Source organism: Homo sapiens, chromosome 11, assembly GCF_000001405.40.
Source record: "Homo sapiens chromosome 11, GRCh38.p14 Primary Assembly".
In the NCBI taxonomy this organism is placed as follows: Eukaryota; Metazoa; Chordata; class Mammalia; order Primates; family Hominidae; genus Homo; species Homo sapiens.
The window spans coordinates 30,444,390-30,467,052 of NC_000011.10; the positions used below are offsets into that span (position 1 = coordinate 30,444,390).

The 22,663-nt window shown below is 40.6% G+C and overlaps 1 protein-coding gene across 27 annotated transcripts in view, besides 1 other annotated feature; it reads right to left on the minus strand.

Moving 5' to 3' along the window:
* The window catches only part of MPPED2 (metallophosphoesterase domain containing 2), a 202,912-nt gene that overhangs the window by 60,311 nt on the left and 119,938 nt on the right, over positions 1 to 22,663 (minus strand). For 2 of the 27 annotated variants that reach the window (NR_165343.1, NM_001440303.1), the window contains one exon: positions 5,980 to 7,694. The exons of the other annotated variants lie outside the window; for them this stretch is intronic. Coding sequence is in view for 1 of the 2 variants with exons in the window: in NM_001440303.1 (NP_001427232.1) it covers positions 7,682 to 7,694 (13 nt within the window). In the remaining variant the exon portion in view is untranslated. Of the gene's footprint in view, positions 1 to 5,979; positions 7,695 to 22,663 lie in introns of those variants that run through there. 27 annotated transcript variants of the gene reach the window in all.
* Positions 708 to 1,209: an enhancer, noted in NCBI's record as "NANOG hESC enhancer chr11:30466644-30467145 (GRCh37/hg19 assembly coordinates)". NCBI's record gives its function as "activates a minimal SCP1, AML or CMV promoter by ChIP-STARR-seq in naive H9 embryonic stem cells {active_cell/tissue: H9 hESC(naive)}" and the evidence as "EXISTENCE:reporter gene assay evidence [ECO:0000049][PMID:30033119]".

Genomic DNA, 22,663 nt, shown 5'->3' on the forward strand with positions numbered 1-22,663 from the left:
ACAGGACTGGAAATTAACAGTGGTTTCTAAATTACTCTCAAACACACAGAACATCATTCTATTTTTTTTTTTTTTTTTTAGAAAAAACACATTTTTCCAAGATGACCTAATTCCATGATGGCTAAATCCATTTAAAACAAACATTCCAAATAAACTCACCTCAGGGCTGAAACAAGAAATAAAATGTACATTTACTGTGATTTCAAATAATGTTACAAGTTAAGACTTAAAAAGAGGAAATAAATTAACTCATTAAAAATATTTATTATAATCTTGCTCCTTTCTACGTTATTTTTTGGTTCTTTATCTGCACATTTTGGGCTGTGTTGGTTTCTGAGAATCTTCCCCACTTGTTTAATTTCTTCTAGCTAAAAAATATTTGCAGTAAAACATTAAACAATTTTAGATGTACTGATGGTAGCATTATTATCTTAAATCCCCATCACCATGTTTAATATGGAACCAGCCCCTGCACTACCTTAATTAAATAAATTTCAGCATATTCTCCGATTTATTTCTCAGGGATTTCTGGGAGTCAATGATCATCCACATTGGGATAAAAGAACAGGACATATGGCAATTTCTTAACAGCAAATACATTAATTTCTTTTCCTCTTTGGGAATTGTGAAATTAAGTTTGGGAGAGATGAACAGTTCCTTTAAAGCTTCCATCTTCTCTTTCACTCCTTTCCCCTGACAACACCTAGTCTAGGTATGCAGTCATTGCCTGAATGACCTGTGACAAAGAAAAAAAAATAAAGAGAGCAAAATCCAGGCTGGCTTCAGGACAATGTCCACTAGGAGACTCCCCGGGCTGAGGAAGGGCTCTGGGTATGTAAGACTGGCAGAGCTGGAATGTTGTTCAACCCTCTCTTATAAATGGAAAACAAGGCTCAAAGGGCTAACATGATTTGTTGAAGACCTTCGACTAATACAAAGGAACTAAATTCCATGCCTGCTGACTCCCAGACCAAACATCTTTCCATTCTATTGTTAGACTGGTATTCAAGGGATTTGCATTCCAGTCTAGTTGTCACTAATTAGTGTAACCTTTTTTCTTAATTATGGTAAAATATGCATAACAAATAATTTATCATTTTAACCATTTTTAGTGTAGTTCAGTGGCATTAAGTATACTCACATTATTGTGCAACTATCACTACCAACCATCTTCAAAATTTGTTCATCTTCCCAAACCGAAACTACGCATTAAATGATAACCCCCTTCACCCCTAGCCCCTGGCAACTGCCATTCTACTTTCCATCTTTATGAATTTGACCACTCTAAGTACCTCATACAAGTGGAATAATACAATATACGTTCTTTTGTGTCTGGCTTACCTCACTTAGCATAATGTCTTCAAGGCTCATCCATGTAGTAGTATGTGTTAGGATTTCCTTCTGTTTTAAGGCTGATTAATATTCCATTTTAGGTATCTATGTTTTGTTTATTCATTCACCTGTCAGTGGACACTTGAGGTGCTTCCACCTTTTGGCTATTGGGAATAATGCTGCTATGAACCTGGCTATACAAATATCCGTTCAAGTTCATGCAGTCTTTAAGCAACTACTCTCTTCCCTAGTGTCACTATTACCATCTCTAAAGTGGTGACAGTGGCATGTGTACATGTGTACGTTCTTGAGGGTCCTGTTTCTAATACCATCATTTCTCCATGGACCACCCAGTATTTCACTCACTTGGTTGCAGATAGCTGCAAACTCAGCCCAAATTTAGACCAATATAAAATGAATAGCTTTGCAGGCAAAGTCAAAGGCTATGAGTTCCTTCCAGGCCCTGGGAATTCTGTGTGCGGTTAGAGGAGACTGGCAAGTCCCCTCTCCTACTCTCTTTCTAGGGTTTCACCCATTGAGAATTTCTCCTGAAAAGACTCATCATTCAGCTCAGCCTGCCTACCACTTATTGAGCACCTAGCAAGTACCAAGCTCTGCTAAGAATTCACCGGCTTGATCTTGGCATCACTGAAATTATTTTTCTTTGGAGGAAGACACTGTAATAGAATGGCATGTTTCTAAAAGTGCCAGATGTTAGTAGGCATGCTTTAAAATAATAAATTAACTCACTCCAAAGGGAAAAAAAAAACAATACAAGTAAGCAGAAGAAACAGCCTTCCATCTCTGGGCATCTTTGTCCATGTGTGTTCGCTTGCTGCAGCCTCCATGCTCTGCAAGGCTGTTTTATTCTTCTTTGTAGGCAGGATTTTAAATATCTACAGAGCCTGCTCAGTAAAGCAATTAGAGAGCTCCTTGTATATTTCAATCTGGTTAATGGCTTCCCAAGCCATTCCCTCACTAAAGAAGTGCATAACAGCAAAGGCAGCCAACGAGCACCCCTCGGAATCCACACTCTCTTAATGGAAAGCAAGCAGCCTAATTTGTTTGCCAAGACTGTCGGAGCCCCCCCCGACGCCAAGTCCCAGTCTAAAATGACTTTTTATGTCCAAGTTACCGATTTCTCTGAAAACAACAACTTATAATGGAAATGTGGACATTTAACTCAAGTGCTCTTTTGTAATGGTTTTGCATTAGCGTTCTGAGAGGCAAAGCAACCACAAAGTTAACGTATTGGGTGTTCTAGCAGGGAAGGAGGGATGGAGGGAAAGAAAAGCTGTGGAAAACAAAAGGTGATTTTATTTGATAACATTAAAAGAACATTAGATTTGCACTCTATGAACTGGGCTGCATAAACGAGAGATCATTCAGGTAGACAGGCGGCTGTTTGTCAGGTGGGTTCTCCCCTGCCCCGCAGTGCCTGGCATTCAAGTCCTATCTGTATGTGACAGATTCCACTGGACCAAAAGCCATCCTAGGCTGCTGCTGCTGCAAGCCATGGAATTTCATACAAGTTCGTAACTTCCGACAGTCTGATTTGATAAAAACCCCAAACCCACAGTAGCCCATTATATGGGCAAACTATTCATTTTATATCCACCTCCTTGTCGTGTCAGTGCAGAGGTCATCTAAAGAGGAGGCCTAATTAATCAATCTGTCAGAGGCAATGAGGAGGAGCATGTTAATAGGACTTTTATTTCACCCAGGAAAGCAGTGGCCTGACAGGGACCAGAAAATATGGCTTTGGTGTTGCTGTTTATTAGCAATGCTGAGACCAGTTGTAATAGGAGCCGAGCAGTGTGTGGGTGATAAAGTGTGGGGTGTCAAGAAGCGGCAGCAACCAGAAATTAGACTGACAAGAGCCAGCACTCGCTGGATATTGATAGCTGATAAATAGGAAGCCAGGTGCAAACGGGCATACGAAAGAGAGTGGCACAGCAAACAAGAGTTTGCGCAGTTAAACAGGGGCAAGTAAGAAAGGCCGAGTGTGGATTTTGTCCTTTGCTGATAGCTAGAGGGGTCTGCTTCAGAATGAATCTTTACTTCAATCAACCGGTATTTCCTGAGAGGTTTCGTGAGTCCCTGCCCTAGGTGCTGGAGATACAAGGATCCACGAGACGTCACCCTACCATCCAGTACTACATTTATGATCTTAGGGAGCAGATCCCCTTAAGAATGTGAAGAAAGCTATAGACCCTCGAAAGATAAAATTCATATTTACACCAAGGACACACAATTTACCTACAATTTCAGGGAGTTTACAAAACTGAAGCCCACTCTGAGATGTTTTCAGAGAGAAGCCCTGGCTTAAGATGAGGGAAATCCCTGTCTGTTGTCACCATTTACTATACAGGGGGTATTTTTTCAGACGTGAATGAGCATCATTTCTTGGGGGAGAATGAGTCAAATCACAAGGGCATCATTTTCCTAAGAGGGGAAAGGGTTTGCAATGGAATACTAAAGGACATCTTGATGTCACTCACATCAAACCCTACGCATGTCATGCTTTCAACAGCAACATCCCTGTTGTGGGGAGGGAGCCATGATGTTCAGCAAAGTCAACCAGCCAAGAAATCAACAGCTCCCTGGATTGAACTGGGCGCTCAGACTTGAGCCTGCAGCAGGAGCACCTGATGAGTTCCACAAACACACCCTTGCCAGGGTCCCACCTAGAAGCCTCACTCCCTATCTATGGTCTGAAGCCCAGGCTTCTGATTGTTACACGGGTTCCACAGATTATCCTGCTACACACTAAAGTGTTACGGCTTTATCACATCTATCCTTACAACTGCCATTCAGGAGGTTACTGCTATAAGTCTATTTTGACCTACAAGGAAATGGGCTTTTTATGATAACTTTATTCTACAAGGATGAAAGGCAAAGGATTAACATTTTTATGTTTAGAAGGCCTTTCTTGAAATCTCAGAGAAGCACTCCCCACTATTTTTTTTTTTTGAGACAGTCTCACTCTGTCACCCAGGCTAGAGTGCAATGGCATGATCTTGGCTCACCGCAACCTCCGCCTCCCGGGTTCAAGTGATTCTCCTGCCCCAGCCTCCTGAGTAGCACCACCACGCCTGGCTAATTTTGTATTTTTAGTAGAGACGGGGTTTCTCCATGTTGGTCAGGATCTCGAACTCCCGACCTCAGGTGATCTGCCTGCCTCGGCCTCCCAAAGTGCTGGGATTACAGGCGTGAGCCACCACCCCCGGCCACTCCCCACTATTTTTAACCACATGCTGTATGTTTCCTTCATAGTACTTACCATAATTCATAACTCTGGATTATTTTGTTTTAGTCATCTGTTTACTTGCCTGTTTTTTAGTCTCTTCTACTAGATTTTAAGTTTACCACAGCAGGGATTGTGTCTATTTTATTCCTTAATCTATATCCACTATCAAACACAGTGCCTGGAACATGGTAGTTGCTCAGTAAATGTTAAGAGAATGAATGAATGAATGAATGCCCCTATGTATAGCTAAAAATTACATTAATCAGGATGTCATAAATGTTAAAGTTCTGCTGTGTTTATATATTGAAGGAGTCCAGGATATGCCACCCCCAACTATGCCGCTTTGTCATAAGGAGTATTTTTGAGCTGAAAGCAACGGAGAATCAACAGATAGGACAGGTGCAGTGGCTCACACCTGGAATCCCAGCCCTTTGGGAGGCTGAGGTAAACAGATTACTTGAGCCCAGGAGTTGAAGACCAGAGACCAGCTGAGACAACATGGCAAAACCCTGTCTCTACACAAAAATTAGGGTGTGGTGGCGTGCGCCTGAGTCCCAGCTACCTGGAAGGCTGAAGTGGGAGGACTACCTGAGCCCGGGAAGTAGAGGCTGCAGTGAGCTATGATCATGCCACTGCACTCCAGCCTGAGACAGAGGAAAACCTTGTTTCAATAAAAAAAGAAAGAATCAGCAGATACAGGAAAAGTTATCTGTTCTCCCCTTTTCTGCCTAAAAACAGGGCATAAACTTCCATTTGTGATGGTGGTATAAATTTCCCTTCCTCCTAAACCAAGATAAAGAGAGATACCCTATCATGAGAAGTGAGGAGCCAGCACCAAGATAAGTCTGCTTAAACAGACCTTACTAAAATTACCCTTCTCTTCCATTAGTTTCCCCCAAAATTTCCAAGTCATGTTCTCACAATTCATCTGCCCTAGATGCCCAAACCCCCTTTCCTCTGTCTAGTCATATCTCCACAATTTACTGCCATTTGTTCAATGGTATAAGCCCCCCAAAACCACTTTTTTTGGTTTTCAATTTTCTGTGGAGCCCCTGTGCATGTAAAATTAAAAATATCAATTAAATCTGTATGTTTTTTCTCCTACTAACCTTTCTAGTGTCTTTTGAATTCACAGGCGCCAGCCACAAAACATAAGAGGGTAGAGGAAAGGGTCTTTTTTCCCCCTTCTTTATTCCCCTACAATATGAACTCATTACTTTTTTCCAAAATATTAATTGAGCATCTGCTACTGCCAGGCCTTGTCAGACCTGAAGATGCAGTGGTTAATCAAAGAGCCTAAAACCCGCCCTCATGGGGTTCCAAGAGTCCTACTCCTTGTCTATATCAGAATAATAAAGACAACAACTAAAGCAAAATGAGTAAAAATAGACATTGTGTATAAGTTATTCCTTTATTTCAGGTGTGACACAGAGTAATTTGTATATATTATCTCATTGATTCTCACAACTCTCCTATAAATTAGATGCAGTTATTGGTCTCATTTTACAGATGAAGATCTCAACTTGGAGAAGTGAAGTAAACCACTGATAACCAGAATTGAGCAAATGGGGGAACTGGGATTTTTGACAATAGCTGACTCTGGTTCCAAAACCTGCATTCATAGGATAAGCAATATGGCCACTCCTAGGTGCTTCTAAACACCCTATAAACAAATTCACAGAAAAATAATAGCTGCATATGTGAACTTCCTAGGGGCCTGTTCAGCACCCAAGTTTTATATTTAAGAGTTTAACAGCATATGTTTTAGTGGAGTTTTCCAGTTTGTACAGCATTTCCACATTAAATGACACATTTTAACCTCAGAGAAACTCTGTATCGGGTACAGATAGATTATTAGCCCCCTTTTTCAGAAGAAGTAATAAGCTCAGAGGAGATCTGGCTCAGGGCCACACAGCCAGTAAACAGTAAAAATACTGAACCCGATCTCATAGGCTCTCTGGCTTCCCAGTATTATTTAATTTTTGCATTTAAAGGATTCATAAACTATCCCAGTGGATCCATGGGAAATAATCTGTGAGCACAATTGTATCATGAGACATGAGAGCAACAGCTTGGTGTGGTGACAAGAGCCACGTGGCTTCTTCATGCTAGCGTCACCCCTAACTAGCTGTAGGGGTCTGGGCAAATCGGTTCCCCTCTCTGGGACTAGACTTCTTTCTCTGTAAAGATGAGGATGGGGACTTTGACTACATGATCTATAAGCTGTCTTCCAGCTTTGAAACTCAATGTGAAGCTGTATCTCACCCCCTTATTTTTTTCTCCTTTTGGGCTTCCCTTCTTCACCTTTTAGCTGCTTTTGTTACATTCGAGGATTAGATGTCACAAAGCTTAGGCCCCTCTTGTCTAAGGACCTTGGCTGTCAAGACTTAGAAATGCAATTCCCACTGCTAACCTGGCCCCCCTGCAGTTTGAAGTGAGAGCTCAGACTGAGGGATGTGGTCTTTGCCAGAGGCAATATTTGTTATGATAGATAATGAAGATTCCAAATGCCCAGTGTCCTCTTATTTATCATTCAAACCTGGCTGATTCAAAGATTTTGCTAATAAGGAATCTTTAGGGCCAGAAGTACAATCTATTTGGAATCTCAGGAACCCCACCACTACCACCCTCACTCTCACTCCATGGGAGACGTTATTTTAATGATAAAAGAAGCCTGTATTTCAAATGTTCACTTAACTTTTACTATTTCCTTGTGTATTTCAAAAACATTAGAGAAACTTTTGAAAGAATACAACTGTTTTCTGCTGTAGGACTCATTATTATGCAATTTGAGGGGTGGGAGGGGACATTTTCAGGTGTCTGCGAATGACTGCAGATTAATTTCACTGACTGACAGGCTGCGGTGGGAAGTCAGCTGGAGATCTGGAGACAGCAGACCTATGCCCTAGTTCCAGCTCAATGCAATTGTGGGCAAGTCATTTAACCTTGATTTCTTAAATTGAGAATGGAATCACACCAATTAATTCGGCCTCAAAGAAATGTGGGAAGTAGGAGGGAGCCGTAAAACGATTCCCATTTCCTGCCTCTTCTCATTTTGCCCTTTTTGTTCACTTAATGCTGCCCAAAGCCACCTCAGCTTCACTTGTGGTCACTGTGGAAAGAAAGCAGAAAGCAGATTATTTCTCTTCTCTACTTAAAAATCTTCAAGGGCTTCTCACTGCCTAAGACTAAACTCCAAATTCTTGAGCTCCAAACAGAATCCTCCCTGCACCCAGCACTCTGGCTGCACTGACCCCTATGTGCCCTTTCCCCTTTCACCTCAGTCACCTTGATCTTGTTTCCTGTTCAGAAGGCCTTCCCTCTAGCACTGCCAAGGGTCCACAGTTGAGTCATCCTTCAAGATCTGGCTTAAACACGATCGTGTCTGTGGGCCCTGCCCAGGCCCATCCTGTGGCACCCATACCTTCTCCATTCCCACAGCACTCTGACTTTCCTTCAGGCGGTTCCTGCAGTTTTGTAATTCATGATGTTTCTGTGTTCCCTCTGCCTCACTACATCAGTATTTCTCTTGAGGTTTTTCGCATCAAAATCACTGCAGTGTTTGTGAGAAATGAAGATTTTGGGGTCCAACTCGAACTTACTAAGTCACACCTCTGGGGGTAAGGTATGTACTGCACACGCTAAAGCTTGAGAATGACTGCACTGGTTCATGAGCTCTGGAGTGGCAGGATTATGCCTGATTCACTGTTGTGCATCCAGATCTGTATCCTTTTCTTGAAAAAGCTGCCTTTGGTTGTCTTGAGAAAGATATTCTGTCTAGCAGTGTGAGGATACAGAAACCACTATTAGGATAAAAGAGCTAAGAGAGCATCGCTAAGTTTCTCTGCCAACATTATTCTACGTGGCTCTGCAAAAAGGATGGTGGAAACTTACAGCAAAAGAGGGATCTGGGAAAAAAAAAAGAGCCTTGGTGGGGGCAGCTAAAGATGGAGACATTGCAGAAAGGGCCCTTCTAGCTAAGAATGCCCAGCACATACTGCACCTTGCCCAAATGTGACTTCCTGATGAAGTTAGCAGGCATTTGCTGCAAGGATGCAAAATGAGTTATGTGCAGTGAGCATTGAAGGCAAACACAACCCTTGAACTTTTCTTCCCCCACTGAGAACATTAAATAAATATAAAAGACTAATCTCTCAGCAGCTAAAATTAAGCCTCTGGTGACCACCAAAATAGAAGCAACAGATTCCCTAAGACCTTGTGAGTTCGGGGTTCAAGCCTAAAGGGATACACTGTTATGTCAAATTGAAGACTCAGTCGAAGAAGACTCCACACCTCTAAAGCGTTCCAGGTTCAGAAAGATACTAAGGAAACTGCAGATGTGGATGGGTTGCCTCTAGATCATCTATTGGCTCTCAAGCTATCCTTCAATTTAGTCTTTTTCAACACTGATCTCTTTGAATTGAGGCTTTCCAGGAGCCCTAGCAAAATGAAGACGGAGACCACTTTATTTTATTTCTGGGACAATCAAATTTCTCTCCAATAGGGCAATTTCAAGACTGCCTGTTTTTGTAAATAGTGTACTGCAACCCCAGTGGTTAACGCCAAGCCCTACGTACCTACTTCTGGCTGCGTATGGAGACGTTCTCTCTGAATTCATTTCCTTAGACATTGGGGAAATAACTGATTTTTCCTTCCCATGGGGAAAATTGAATGCACAAGAATTTCTGGTCATTTTCTACAGTTTGTTCTGTGATTTCAAAATGGTAGATCTCATTGAACACTGATAAGATCAAGCAAAGAAGACTGGCTCTGTTTCCCCACTTGGCTTGAAAGGGCAAATGCCCTCCTGCTATGTCTAACTTGATTACTCTCTTCAAAGGCTGGCCAGGAATCTCAGACTAAGTCTTTCTGAGGCTGGCTTTGCCCTCCTTGAGGAGGGGACTGGGACCACATTTGAATGGCATTCACATGCAGCAGCAGGTATGAACAAGGAGGCTTTGAGGGCTCCAGGTGTGGCTGTGATATACAAAGGAGTTCTGGGGAGTGTCGTCTCTTTCCCAAAGAAGTCATCTCTGATCTTGTCATCTCCTGGCCACACACCCTTGTTTCATGCATTCCTCTGAGCAAACAACAACTTCCTCAAAAGATTCATTTAAAAGGGAGGGGGCTTCTTTTTACCTTGGCAAGGAGACTATTGTTGCTTGAAAACAAAAGGAATCTGCACCTTAATCCTGATGACATTTCTATAGGAACCTTATTTACAGTATGTCAAAATCCCGTTCTGCTCTTACAGCCTCATTAAATCTAAGCCTCATTTAACTAGTAGGACATTTTTACAATGGGTTTACTGGCGTACTGTGATAAATGGCTGTCTAACATCCTTCAACAATAGCCGGGCTACAGCCATAACCACGATGTGTATAAACACTACATCAGTTTAACAATACACAGTGCTGAATAGCAGGAAGTGAAGGCAAACATTTTCCCCGAGCATTTTTTGTATGTGTGGGGGTGGAAATAAAAGAAAAAAAATCACCAGAGGAAAAAAAATTATAAATTTTTTTTTACAAGTTTAATGTTTCTGCTGAGGATAATAAAGATGGCCTTTGAAAGTCATGACCTAGTTTAAAAAAAAAGTTGCCTGAAATTTGATAATTTGATCCCTGAAACATAAAAAGCGTTTGCAATAGAATGAAAATGACCCTGTTCTCTCTCCTTTTTAAAAAATCCTGTATCTGAAAAATGAATAGAATGGTGTGTGAATATATGCAGCTCACCCTTCTAGAGCTGAAATCCTGCTTGCTTATTCAAGAATATGGGTTAGGTTGCTGGGCAAATCAAAACAACTAGTGCTGGGCCAGATTCTGAAGACCAAAGCACTTAAAAAAAATCAGAGAGCCTATAAGCTCTTCATTTTTTATTCTGTGATAGAGAATCTAGCGATCATATTCCTATTCAAGACTGTTAGGGCCTCTTTCAGGTAGTTGTCAGTGCCAAAGGGTGGAGAAGCATAAGGTTTCCTAAATTAGAGAAGAAACTTAAATGTACTCAACACATTTAGATCCTGCCTGGATTTTCACTAGCCTCTGATTTAATTCCACACCAAATGCTACTGCATAACTGGACAGAGCAAAGCCTCTAGTATTTACACTGGAGGCTAAGGTCTGACATTCTGTCTAAATGAAATTTCCCAGTTGTCCCAAGAAGTTTTTACCTTGTTTCCATGCTAGCAGTTTGAAACGTCACTACATATTGCTGCAATGACAGGTGAGCAAAAACCAACCCTGGCTTGGCTGGTGCTCAGAGCAAACAGGCCTGGGAACCAGCCTACTGTTTTCTGCCCCATTCCTGCTGAGGCACTGGCCCATACTCTGTCCCACCAACCAACATCGCCAAGGGGGCCCACAAGCTCTGCCAGTGACCCTGTCAAAAGGCCAGTTAGCAGGGACTACAAGCAATTATCATGGAAAAGAGAAGACACTTGATCTCTCCTCTCTTTCTCTTTGTGCTTTAAGAAAAAAGGCTGCCTTCTGGAGTGAATTTTGGCAATAGTTCTATTTTTATTATTAAAATATACATTTGAAGCATAAAAGGTGTTTTCCATTCATACATTAAAAAGAAAAAGCTAAGTATATATCCTTATGTTACTCCAGCGCCCTTTGTTTTTTAATGCCAAAAGGTGGCTTCTACAACTTACGCTTTCCTCCCCATATGGGATGGTAGGCAACCAGAATTCATGCCTGTGCGCTTCATCAACGGTGTAAATCAATTAAGCATCCCGATTCTCCCCTGGAATGTGTCCCTTTCCAGATCAGCTTGGCTTAACATGATGAGGTATGGGAGCTCCCCACTCACAAAGGTAAAGAGCCCTCACCTGGGTAGTCCTACCATGCTCAGAACTGCCTCTGGGCACATGCAGCACTCGTTAACCTGACAGCCGTTCTGCTCTGCAAGATTGACATAGTGACGCTTTGACCAAGAGGCTCCATGACTCTGTTTCTCCACTCTAACACAGACAGGACGCTGCCCTGGGTAATGTTTCATCACAGCTTGCATTCAAAACCTCTGTGTCTTGCCTTTCAAGTACAGCATACTTTCTAAGAATTTCACTGTCTCTGCAGACATGTCTTTATTTGTCCTTTATAAATATTGCTTCTCTATGGAAAAGCTGCATTATATAAATAATGGAAGGAACCTACAGCCATTCCTTTAGTTTTGCTGGTCATTCTCAAAAATAAGGAATGAATGAAGAATCTGGGAAAATTCAACTGGAGAAGAGACGATTAAGGAAAATGCCAAGTTCCCTTTGACTATTTGAGGAGCTGTCTGACATGTGAACAAAGACATTAGATGGATGTGGGTTCAAAGAAAAGGGGTTTGAGTAGGACACATATCCTTAACTGATGAATGGTTCAGTTGAGGGGAATAAACACATGGCAATGAGCAGAAGAGGGACTGGTACCCAACCAACAAAAATCAATCTTGACCATATATGGGGTAACAGATGTTGGGGTCACATTCCATACATCACTTGGGCGGTAAAGCAGAGTTGATAAATTCATTCATTCTCATTTTCTTTCTCTCTTTCTCTGTGTTTCTCCCCAATCCTGTGTGTGTGCGTGTGTGTGTGTGTCTGTGTGTGTGTAGTACAGGACTGTTGTAGAGGAATCCATGTACTTGATGGTTAGATAAACTTTAAGCAATATTACAATCCTGATATTCTGTAACCCTAAGAATCAAATAGAAAGAGGACTAAAAAGAAGTAGCCTAGCACTCACTTTCTGTTTTTTAGCCCAGTTTTTTCTCATGGGTACAGAATATTCTGGACCTTTCCAGTGCCTTAAACAGTGCCATAATGGTTTCATATATAAGACCCTTTACACTAGCACTGTCTTTCCAGGAAGGTTAGGCTCTTAAAGCACTCCATGGGCACTAATTATTCATGCAATCATACAGCTAGCAATAAGAACAAAAATGGTTTGGAATGACAAATACTTCACAATAGGAACTAATTCACACCTGGAAAAAAGTGATCCGTATTCCTGTTAAAAATTAATACTTCATCAAGAGGAGTAAGCTATAGAGAGAAAATTCCATTCCTGGTGGGGGTCAATCTTCTTCTCACTCTTTCTTTGATAAATTTTCTTCTCTGTCCTTTCACTTATATGACTTCTGTTGGTCTGGGGAAAAAGCTTATCAGCATTTATGGAGTACAGCAACATGCTTTGAGAATGCACATCCAGCAATGTTCCCTGGACATGTTCTAAAGGAACTCTGAGAACAAGAAAAAGTGGAGACACAATAAGGGAGAGGTTTCCTGCCCTGGTCTGTGACAGGTTCCAATAATGAAGGGGCTGGATCCTTACTGATGTCATAAGCCCGTACTATAAAAGCTCAAAAAGAGCTTCGCATTTATAGATGAGTCTGGCATTTTGACTTCCTAATTTTCCAAAAAAAAAAAAAAAACAGTTCCTTCTTTTTAAATTGCTGAAAGCTGATATCGCAAGAAGCTTAAAATTACCCCCTTTGTATTTTCAAATTGTTGGTATGTGTCCCAAGTTTGCAAAGTTTCAAACTCTAATAATACCAACAAGTAAAGAAAGATCCATGAGCTGGTATTTACTTGGTGCCCATTAAATTCCAGGAATCGTTACATGTAAGATCGTATTTAATCCACAAACTAGTTATTTCACAACCTTTATGTTGATAAGGCTCAGAGAGGTAAGGTAACCTGCCTAGGGTTCCACAGTTAATAAATTCCCAAACCAGGATTTGAACATAGTTCGGAGTGCAAAGGTCATGCCCTTTCAAGTACACTGCAAAAAAGTTCACAATATATGCTGTTTGGGTATTCTAGAATTAGTAACAAGAGTCATCTGGGGTTTACTTGTGGCCAGCCAAACTCATACGTGAGTCTCCCCAGAATCTCTGTCCCCAGATACAATTTGATGACACATATGAATCAATCCTAACACATTAAATTCCTAATGTCCAAATGTTGAGAGCAACCTCTGCTGCTGCCGTACCAAATACTTATCGGGCAGGGCTGGAATGTAAGAAATGGAGCCCCACATACGATAAGCAATTCATGCCACAGTGCAAGGAGCTCTACTGTGAGAGCTGAAGCCCCAGGCTCTCATGTGGGCTCTTTCAAAGCAGCATCTCCAATTTGTTCCTCAGCTTATTTTCTCTCGTGCCTAATGAGAGATTAAGATGAAATGATCTCAAAGGGCCTTTCTAGTTCTATGCATGGAGAAAATGTTTTGAGGGTGGAAGAGAAAAAGTTAGAAAATAAAGAAGGAAATCATAAGATGCTAGAGATGGAAAGAAACACTGAGATCAGAGAGTACAACCTTGCCATTTAAGTACGAAGAAAGTGAAAGTCAATGGGAAAAGAGGACACCCTAAATTATGGAACCAGTAATTGAACCATGTATATAATTGGAGTCTCCCTAAGTTTCACATCAACCCTCATTCTATAACACAGAGCAGAATGCACTTGAAATCCAACAGATAATGAAGGGAAAATATTTTAGAAATCAGCAAAAAGATCACAATTATCCATGTCCCAATCAACTCAGAACCTGAATTAACTGGATTTTAATTTAGTTTGCCTTCCATTTTGGAGGAAAGAAACAGAAAGATGTCCTCATCATCAAATTACACGGAGCAATTCTAGGGATAAATACGCCACCAACCCAAACACCTACAGCTTCAAAGTCAGTTGTTCTCACACTTTAGTAGGCATAAAAATCACCCTGGGTGCTAAAGTGCCAATTTCCTGCTCTACCACCAAAGGTTCTGATTCATGTCTAAGAAGGGCTGAGGCACTGGGTTAACAAGCACTGAGGTCAAAGCTGAGACTTGTATTCAGGAACCATGTGTTCTAAAGCTGGATGAGTGAGAACAATAAAATTATGTTAACTACGGACATCTAGAGACTAGACTACTTAAATTTTTTTAGGACAATTTTGCACAGTTCTTTTTTTTTTTTTTTTTTTTTTTTTTTTTGAGACGGAGTCTCGCTCTGTCGCCCAGGCTGGAGTGCAGTGGCGGGATCTCGGCTCACTGCAAGCTCCGCCTCCCGGGTTCACGCCATTCTCCTGCCTCAGCCTCCCAAGTAGCTGGGACTACAGGCGCCCGCCACTACGCCCGGCTAATTTTTTGTATTTTTAGTAGAGACGGGGTTTCACCGTTTTTTAGCCGGGATGGTCTCGATCTCCTGACCTCGTGATCCGCCCGCCTCGGCCTCCCAAAGTGCTTGCACAGTTCTTAAGGTAAAGGAGTTTTTGTTCAATCCTCAGAAATTTAAATTTACCCAAACACCCCACCTACCAAAGATGCCTGTTTATCTGTATTGTGCTACTTTCTGTGCACAATGTTAGCACATTCATAAAGAAATCCATTTCCTAAAGTGAGACTTTGCTGCGACCACAGAATATCTGGTTTGAAATACACAACATCACTATGACAACTCTAATTTTATAATAAGAAAACCCACAAACATCCCAGCCTAGAAAATAAAACCTAAACTATGGCTTTTGAAATACTGAGTCTCTTGAGGTTTTTCTGCAACTACAAATGTTCAAGACTTCACAAGATGAAAGCCATGGTAGCGCCTTGAGGTCACATGATAAGGGGAGGCCTTGACAAGATCATAAAATATTCAGTATAGCAGTTTTCAAATCCACAAAGCTTCACATAGAAGCTCTCTCTCTCTGGTATCATATTATTCCAAGAAGTAGAACGAGTTAACAGTTACCTGAAATCAGAACTAATGTCCTCCTGCTCCCTCCTCTTGGCCCAAACCTGCCATATGTGTGGTCAGGTTGGGTAACATACACCAGTATCAAACATTTCTTTCTCTTTGGAAATCCTGAACTGAACATGTGTATTGTAGTTAATTAGCTTTGCCCAAAGGTGGCAACTGTTTTCAGAAAGCCAAACTGACACTCTTTTTTTCCAAAAATGAAAGGAAATGGCTTGAACTATCTGGAGGCAAACAGCAGCAAGGAGGCTTTATTTGAGAGTCAGCCTGGCGTCTGCTTCACTTTGTAGACCACATGGCCACTGTGGGAATGAGAAAGCACTGGGAGCTTGGCCGTTACAAAGGCACACGGGGCATTTTGTACTTGGCACACACAAGATCAGGTACACCCTAAAAGGAAGCAGCAATGGACAGATGGGAGTTTCACACCCTGCTTATAGCATTTTCTGTTTAAATCCAGAGGGTCCTGTATCCTTTGTGAATGCTGGCTTTTCTTCTGCATTTTGCCATAGTTTTTGCTTTTTTCTTCTTGTCTTCTTTTGATACATTTCTGCTTCCCGTGGCGACAATATAAGTGCAGTGTCCAACTTTCCCCCTCACCCCAAAAATGGAGAAAAACCTTTACTGACAAGAATCAGGCTGGGCGTGGTAGCTCATGCCTGTAATCCCAGTACTTTGGAAGGCTGAGGTGGAAGGATCACTTGAGGCCAGGAGTTTCAAAACCAGCCTGGGCAAGAGAGTGAGATTCCTGTCTCTACAAAATTTTTTTAAAAAGTTAGCCAGGAATGGTGGTGCACCTGTAGTCCCAGCTACTCTGGAGGCTGAGGAGGGAGGACTGCTTGATCGCAGGAGTTCCAGGCTGCAGTGAACTATGATAGTGCCACTGCACTCCAGCCTGGGCAACAGAGCAAGAGCTTGTCTCTAAAAAATAAAGACATTAAATAAACAAATAAATATTTTTAAAATTTTTAATTTTAAATTAAGAAAAGAATCAGATGAATACTGGTTTTATATTGTTGAGAGTAGGGTGTGATGGGAATTATGTCTGCTAAAAAGTAGCTTACAGATTGCTGGTGGGAATGTAAAATAGGGCAGTCACTGTGTACAGTGGTATGACAATCCCTAAAAATACTAAGCACAGAATTACCATGTAACCCAGCAATTCCACTTCTAAGTATATACCCAAAGGAAGTGAAAGCAGGAATCTGAACAGGTATTTGTACAACCACAATCATGGCAGCATTATTCACAATAGTCAATAGGTGGAAGCAACCCATGTGTCCATTGACGAATGGATAAACAAAATGTGATATATAAACACAGGGGAATGCTATTCAGCTTCAAAAAGGAAGGAAATTCTGACACGTGGATGAATCTTGAGGGCATTAGACTAAGTGAAATAAGCCAGACACAAAAGGGTAAAGATTGAATGATTTCCATTTATATGAGGCACCTAAAATAGTCAAGTTCGTATAGACGGAAGGTAGAATGGTGGTTGCTAGGGGCTCGGGTGAAGGAGGAATGGTAGTTATCATTTAATGGATACCGAGTTTCAGTTTGAAATAACGAAAAAAGCTCTGGAGATGGATGGTGGTGATGGTTGCACAACAATGTGAATGTACTTAATGCCACTGAACTGTACACTTAAAAAATAGTTAAAAATGGTAAATTTTATGTTATGTATATTTTACCAATAAAAAAATGAAAAGAATATATTAGGAAAAGGGTGACGCTGCACCAGAGATGCTACAGAACTGGCCTCGGTGAGTACTGCATTTGTGCCACAGCGAAGTTGAGAGCCAGCAAGTCTACCCTTGCTCGAGTGGAAAGCACTCCGTAGCTGCTGTGACTCAAACTACAACGTCTGCATTAGGAAAAGGAGTCCCAAAGACTGTCAGGCCTGTTGCAGGATAAAAAGATGGAGACTTGCCTGACCTTACAGTCCAAAGTTCAGCACCCTGAGGCAGGCATATGATGAAAAAAAAGACCTTGAAAAAATAGAGATGTTCCCTGGAAGTTGACTATGGGGGCTAAATCTTATTTATGAAGAGTAAATGTTCCTCCGGCCCTCAGATATTTAAGCAAAATTCATCCTGACAATTTTATCTCTAGAATTTTTTGTCTAATCTTATTTCAGATTCTGAAGGGAAGCAACATCTATTTCTTACCACAAATGAAAACTTTGCTACGTTCTAGGAGATTATCCTGTGTAAACATTGAGGCAGAGATGCTGGGCACTCACTGTCTTGCATAAATTCATTTGATCAACTTATCAATTGTAAGTTAGCAAGTTTTCATGGCTCCTTCAAGTGCTGTCAAACTCAGAGGCCTGGGATATGGGTGCTGGAGGGAGACCAGGGGAAATACTGCAGCTATCAATACAATAATCTGCGTTAAAAAACTTGGAAAGCTTTGCCCTACTTTTGGGCACATTTCTGAGAAAACAAAACTGAAAGTTCACATTGAACACCTGTTCTTCATTACCTCCTGCTTTCCAGGGTAAAGATGTCCCCATTACCAGGGAGTAATCAAAGATAGAAGCATTCCTTTAACCTAACAATACACTGAAAACAGCAAAAAGCAAACAAAATGGAAAATCTACAAGCACTAAGCCCCAGTATGAACTCATTTGTGTGATTCTATGACACAGCTGGAAAGAGAGCAAAAATCACCCACAACTTATACACTCAACTTGGGCGGGAAGGAATAATAGACTTCAATACACGCTCTGCATTAAAAAATCACTGCATAATTGTAAAATAATATGAAGATACCAAGAGTCTTTTAAAAGTATGTTCAAAAATACTCTTAAAAAGGAAAGGGACAATTAGTCTTTTTAAAATTTTTAAGTATTATTTTAAACAATGACTTCCTTTATTAAGGGGAAAAAATGCTGTTTCTATTTCTGGCCAGCAATCTATTTTCCTGGACTGGATCTCCAAGAGAAGTTTACTAATGTCCAAGTACTCGCAAACAAGAAGTCTAATAATGTTCCATTCCCATCCCCTCTAACTTCCATATAATCGATTAAATAAAAAGCCACTGTAGTATTTTTAATTGATGGAAAATGAAGTAAATAGATGTATTTATTATCCACATGGCAAAAAGTATGGAAAAGGGCACAGTCCCTATCATCTGGTATTTATTTGATGAATGGAAAGTTTAACAAGATGTTTTAAAAGGCACATATGAAGAGATTTTAAATCTGGAAAGAAAAGGGTCATACAGAAGGGGAACAGTTGGGAAAACAGCATTAACTATTGGAGGGAGAAAAGTTGACTTTCCTAAAGAACCTGTGGTTTTCCTAAAAGGAAACAAGAGTCAGCAATAGTTCAATGACTTTGCAATTGAATCTGTCCATTTTTATTCAAATGGTAAACTTACAACAGGGGTATAAGAAGTGAGAAATCTCTACCACCTTGTCTTTGTACAGATTTATCTCACTACGAAGGTTTTCTCGGCTATCCACTCAGGGCAATTTTGAAATATCAATTGCAATGTAATCCTGATAACAACTGAAGAAAATAAACACCAAATGATTGTAATTGTGTAAAGAAAATGAGCTTCAAAGACAAGCTGTTTATTTCCTACCCCCAGTAAACAGCTCGTAGTGGACATTTGTTAGTTGGTTTCCTATACTCATTCCTCCATTTCCTCTCCCCAACAGCCCCAACTTCCATTTGGGGATCCACAGTGAAGTGGCTGCACTTCAGGCCCAGCAAGATGGCACTTGTGACCCAGGCTAAGGCCATTTGTGCATTCCACCCCTTTAGCCCTGGAGGTTGGTGCAGGCATGAGCATAGGAGCCAAATCAGCCAGCAGGCTCAGTCTCTGGATTTTGCTCTTTCCTCCCAGCTTAGTTCTGCGAAGTGGCTGGCCATCATTTTGAAAGCCTAAGGAGACAGCATGCCTGAGGATGGAGCCAACCTGTGAGAAATGGAGCTCAGAAGTGTAAAGGAAGAAACAGTATCTGGGTTACATGTTAAGGCCACATCAAAATCTCTAAAGCCATATCTACCTTTGAAGTTTTAAAATATGGAGACAATAGATTGCATTTGTACAAGATTGTTTGGGTTGACTTTTCTTAACATAAAATTGCATGGAACATAAAAATCCTAACTGATATGGGATTATGTCTAAACTGTTATTTTATATATATATATATACACACACACACACACTTAAATGAAATAACACATAATTTGAACCCTACAATGGTGAATTTTAGAAAATATAGGTCAGGGAAGAGCTAGGTTGAAATTTACCCACGCAATACCTAAAAAACAAAATTCAAAGAGACATTTAAACTATTTGACTAAAAACTGGTATATAGCAAGTGTTCAATATAAATTTGATTAGTTATATCGACATATATCTATGATACCTTAATAACAATGTAAATATTATCCTAACAAGTAAGTGATATGATAAATACATCAGCTTGTTTAAGTTGATCTTTTATCAGAGGCAGAGGTTATCAGACTTGGATCTCATGGACTAGTAAAATTTCAAGGAATGTTTAGGTACTAATAAGTTGTTAATTTTTATTCTACCATGAAAGGATACTAACACACACACACACACACACACACACACACATACCACTTGACTATCGTCTACATTTCAATTTTAAAAAATTTAAGCCTAAAAAGTAGGATGGACATAATTTCACAATGAGGGATCATCCTTCCCAAGAAAGAGAAATTGATAACACTACATTGAAAACACAACCTACTTACACATGTCATCCTTTCTTTCTCACTTTGCCATGGTAATGTCAAAAAGTTTACCTTTAGTTTCTTGTTGTACTTGATTTTAATAAGCCACTTTGAAACTCAGGCTTTTCACTTCTTCAAACTGGCTGTTTTCTAATCATCTGGATAAACAGTTGGCATTTCATGTGTCTGTTTTGTGCCATTGGGCAGAAACCTGCTAAGTTATTTTGCTTATCAGAAGAATCTCTGATCAACTTCAGAGACAAACCTGGGAATATTCAAAGCTATGATTTGTTGTTTTATCTCTAATCAATTCACTTTTATGGTTTATAATTTTATAAAATTATAATTTCATAATTTGTGTTTAGTTTCTATTGTGATAATGTGGGGATTTAGACGAGTAACTAACTCGTCTTCAAGGAACTTATCAGGTTGGGGAGGCATTGCTAACACAAATAAGACACCACGGATATCTATCACAGGCTCGTTCAATTCAACTCAGTTAAGAGATAGGCTTTAGTAGTAAGCAAACAGTCCTATTTCTACTACTCACTAGCTATATAGTTTTAGGCATGTAATCTCTAGGTCTAAGCAATGTGGTCTGAAAATTAGAGTTAGTATACTTTCTTCACAAAGTATGTTGTGAAGATGAACTGTTCAGCAGTATCTGGTATATGGTAAGTTCTCAAACGGAAGTGATGCTAAGCAAATTAAAATGATCTCAAATTCACATTGGAACTGCATTTGGAGTTCATGTAGATATGGTAAGCTGGTGAGGCTGTAATATAAAACAATTGGAAATAGTTATGGGAACTACCACACACTGGACAGTAAATGTTCCACAAGAAGACCTTTAAACTTGTTTGGTTTTTGTGTGTTTTTTTTCTTTGGAGATAGGGTCTCACTCTGTCTCCCAGGCTGGAATGCTGTGGCATGATCTCAGCTCACTGCAACATCAGCCTCCCTGGCTCAAGCAACCCTCCCAACTCAGCTTCCTGAATAGCTGGGATTACAGGCCCACGGCATCATGCCTGGCTAAATTTTGCTTTTATTTTTGGTAGAGATGGGCTTTCACCATGTTGCATAGTCTGGTCTTGAACTCCTGGTCTCAAACAATCCGCTCACCTGGGTGGGCCTCCCAAAGTGCTGGGACTACAGGTGTGAGCCACCATGCCCAGCCTAGCCTTTTCTGCTTTGTTTAAATAAAATACTGCACATGGAAAACAACATATTTAGATTCCAAATGTAGCCCTAATTTGTGACCTTTGGTAAGTAGAATCTGAAGCAGCAGCAAAAACAGTACAGTTGACCCTTGAACAACACAGGTTTGAACTGTGTGGGTCCACTTATACACGGATTTTTTTCAACCACACACAGACTGAGAATACATTTGCAGGATGTGAAACTCATGTATATGGAGGGCAGACTTTTTGTATATATGTGCTGATTTGAGTATACATGGGGGTCCTGCAACCAATCCTCCACATATACTGAGGGATGACTGTATAGGGCTTCAGTGTCTTTGAAAGCTACATCCAAGCTTATAGTAATTACAAGGCCTTCCCCAAATATTAAAATACCATCCTATTTTACTCCTGTGCACAGCACTTCTCAGTGCCTGATATTCTTTTACTTTTCTTTTCAGTTGGCCTGTTCCTTGCTAGAATGTAACTCCATGAGTGCACACTCTTTGCTCTTAAGCCTGCAAAAGAAGAATAGATCTATAACTATTGAATGACAAAAATGAAAGGTATTATTATTTGTTCCTGTGGATTTCTATATAGAATCTAAGCTTCTGACCTACAAATTTTAGTCTCTGAAACTTAATAGACTTATCTTCCCCCTTTGAATCAGGATTCAGCTAAGAGAGCAAGGTATGATAGAGTCAGGTAATTCAATCTAGGAATTAATATTAAATTGGAGCATTACTTTCAAAAGTGTTAGAAGAGGAATGTGGATTTAGCAACCGAAAGATGCTGCACCCTGCCATGGGGCTGGAGTGATGAAAGGAAGAGGTGCTGCTCAGCTGGAGGCCAGGAGCACCCTGACATCCGGTCCAATGGTGGGCTGTCCAGCTGGATCCATTGAGGAAAGGGCCCTTCAGGGATCGCTGGACCCTAGATGGCAGAGGTCAATCTGCCCTTTGATGCAGAGGGGAGCAGGGCAATGAGGAATGGGGCTGAATGCAAAGAGCAAAGGATCAGGGTAGCCATTGAGTTTTAAAACATCAATACTGAAGGGGCAGTGATGCAAATGAACCAAAGGTTAGACCAGAAACTGGGCTGATTCTATTATTTTCTCCCAGTTTGAATGCTTTTGCAAATTCAACTGAAACAGTGCTTTGTGGCCCCAAATACCTACTGCATTTTTGGATAAAATGCATTTGGAAGAGATAATTGTTAAGGCCTATACAAGCATAACATTTAGATTCTATAATTCCATGCCAACTCTGGTAACAACGGGAAACCATGCTTAATACATATGCCTATTTGAACACACTTCTGAGCCTCTGAATTGAATACGTGTGTGTATGTATGTGTCATATTATAACATACCCTTTATGCATATACAAAAATTTCGAATTTTTCCTTCACATGACAGAATTGTTGATAGAGATATTAATCTGTGTTTGATTTT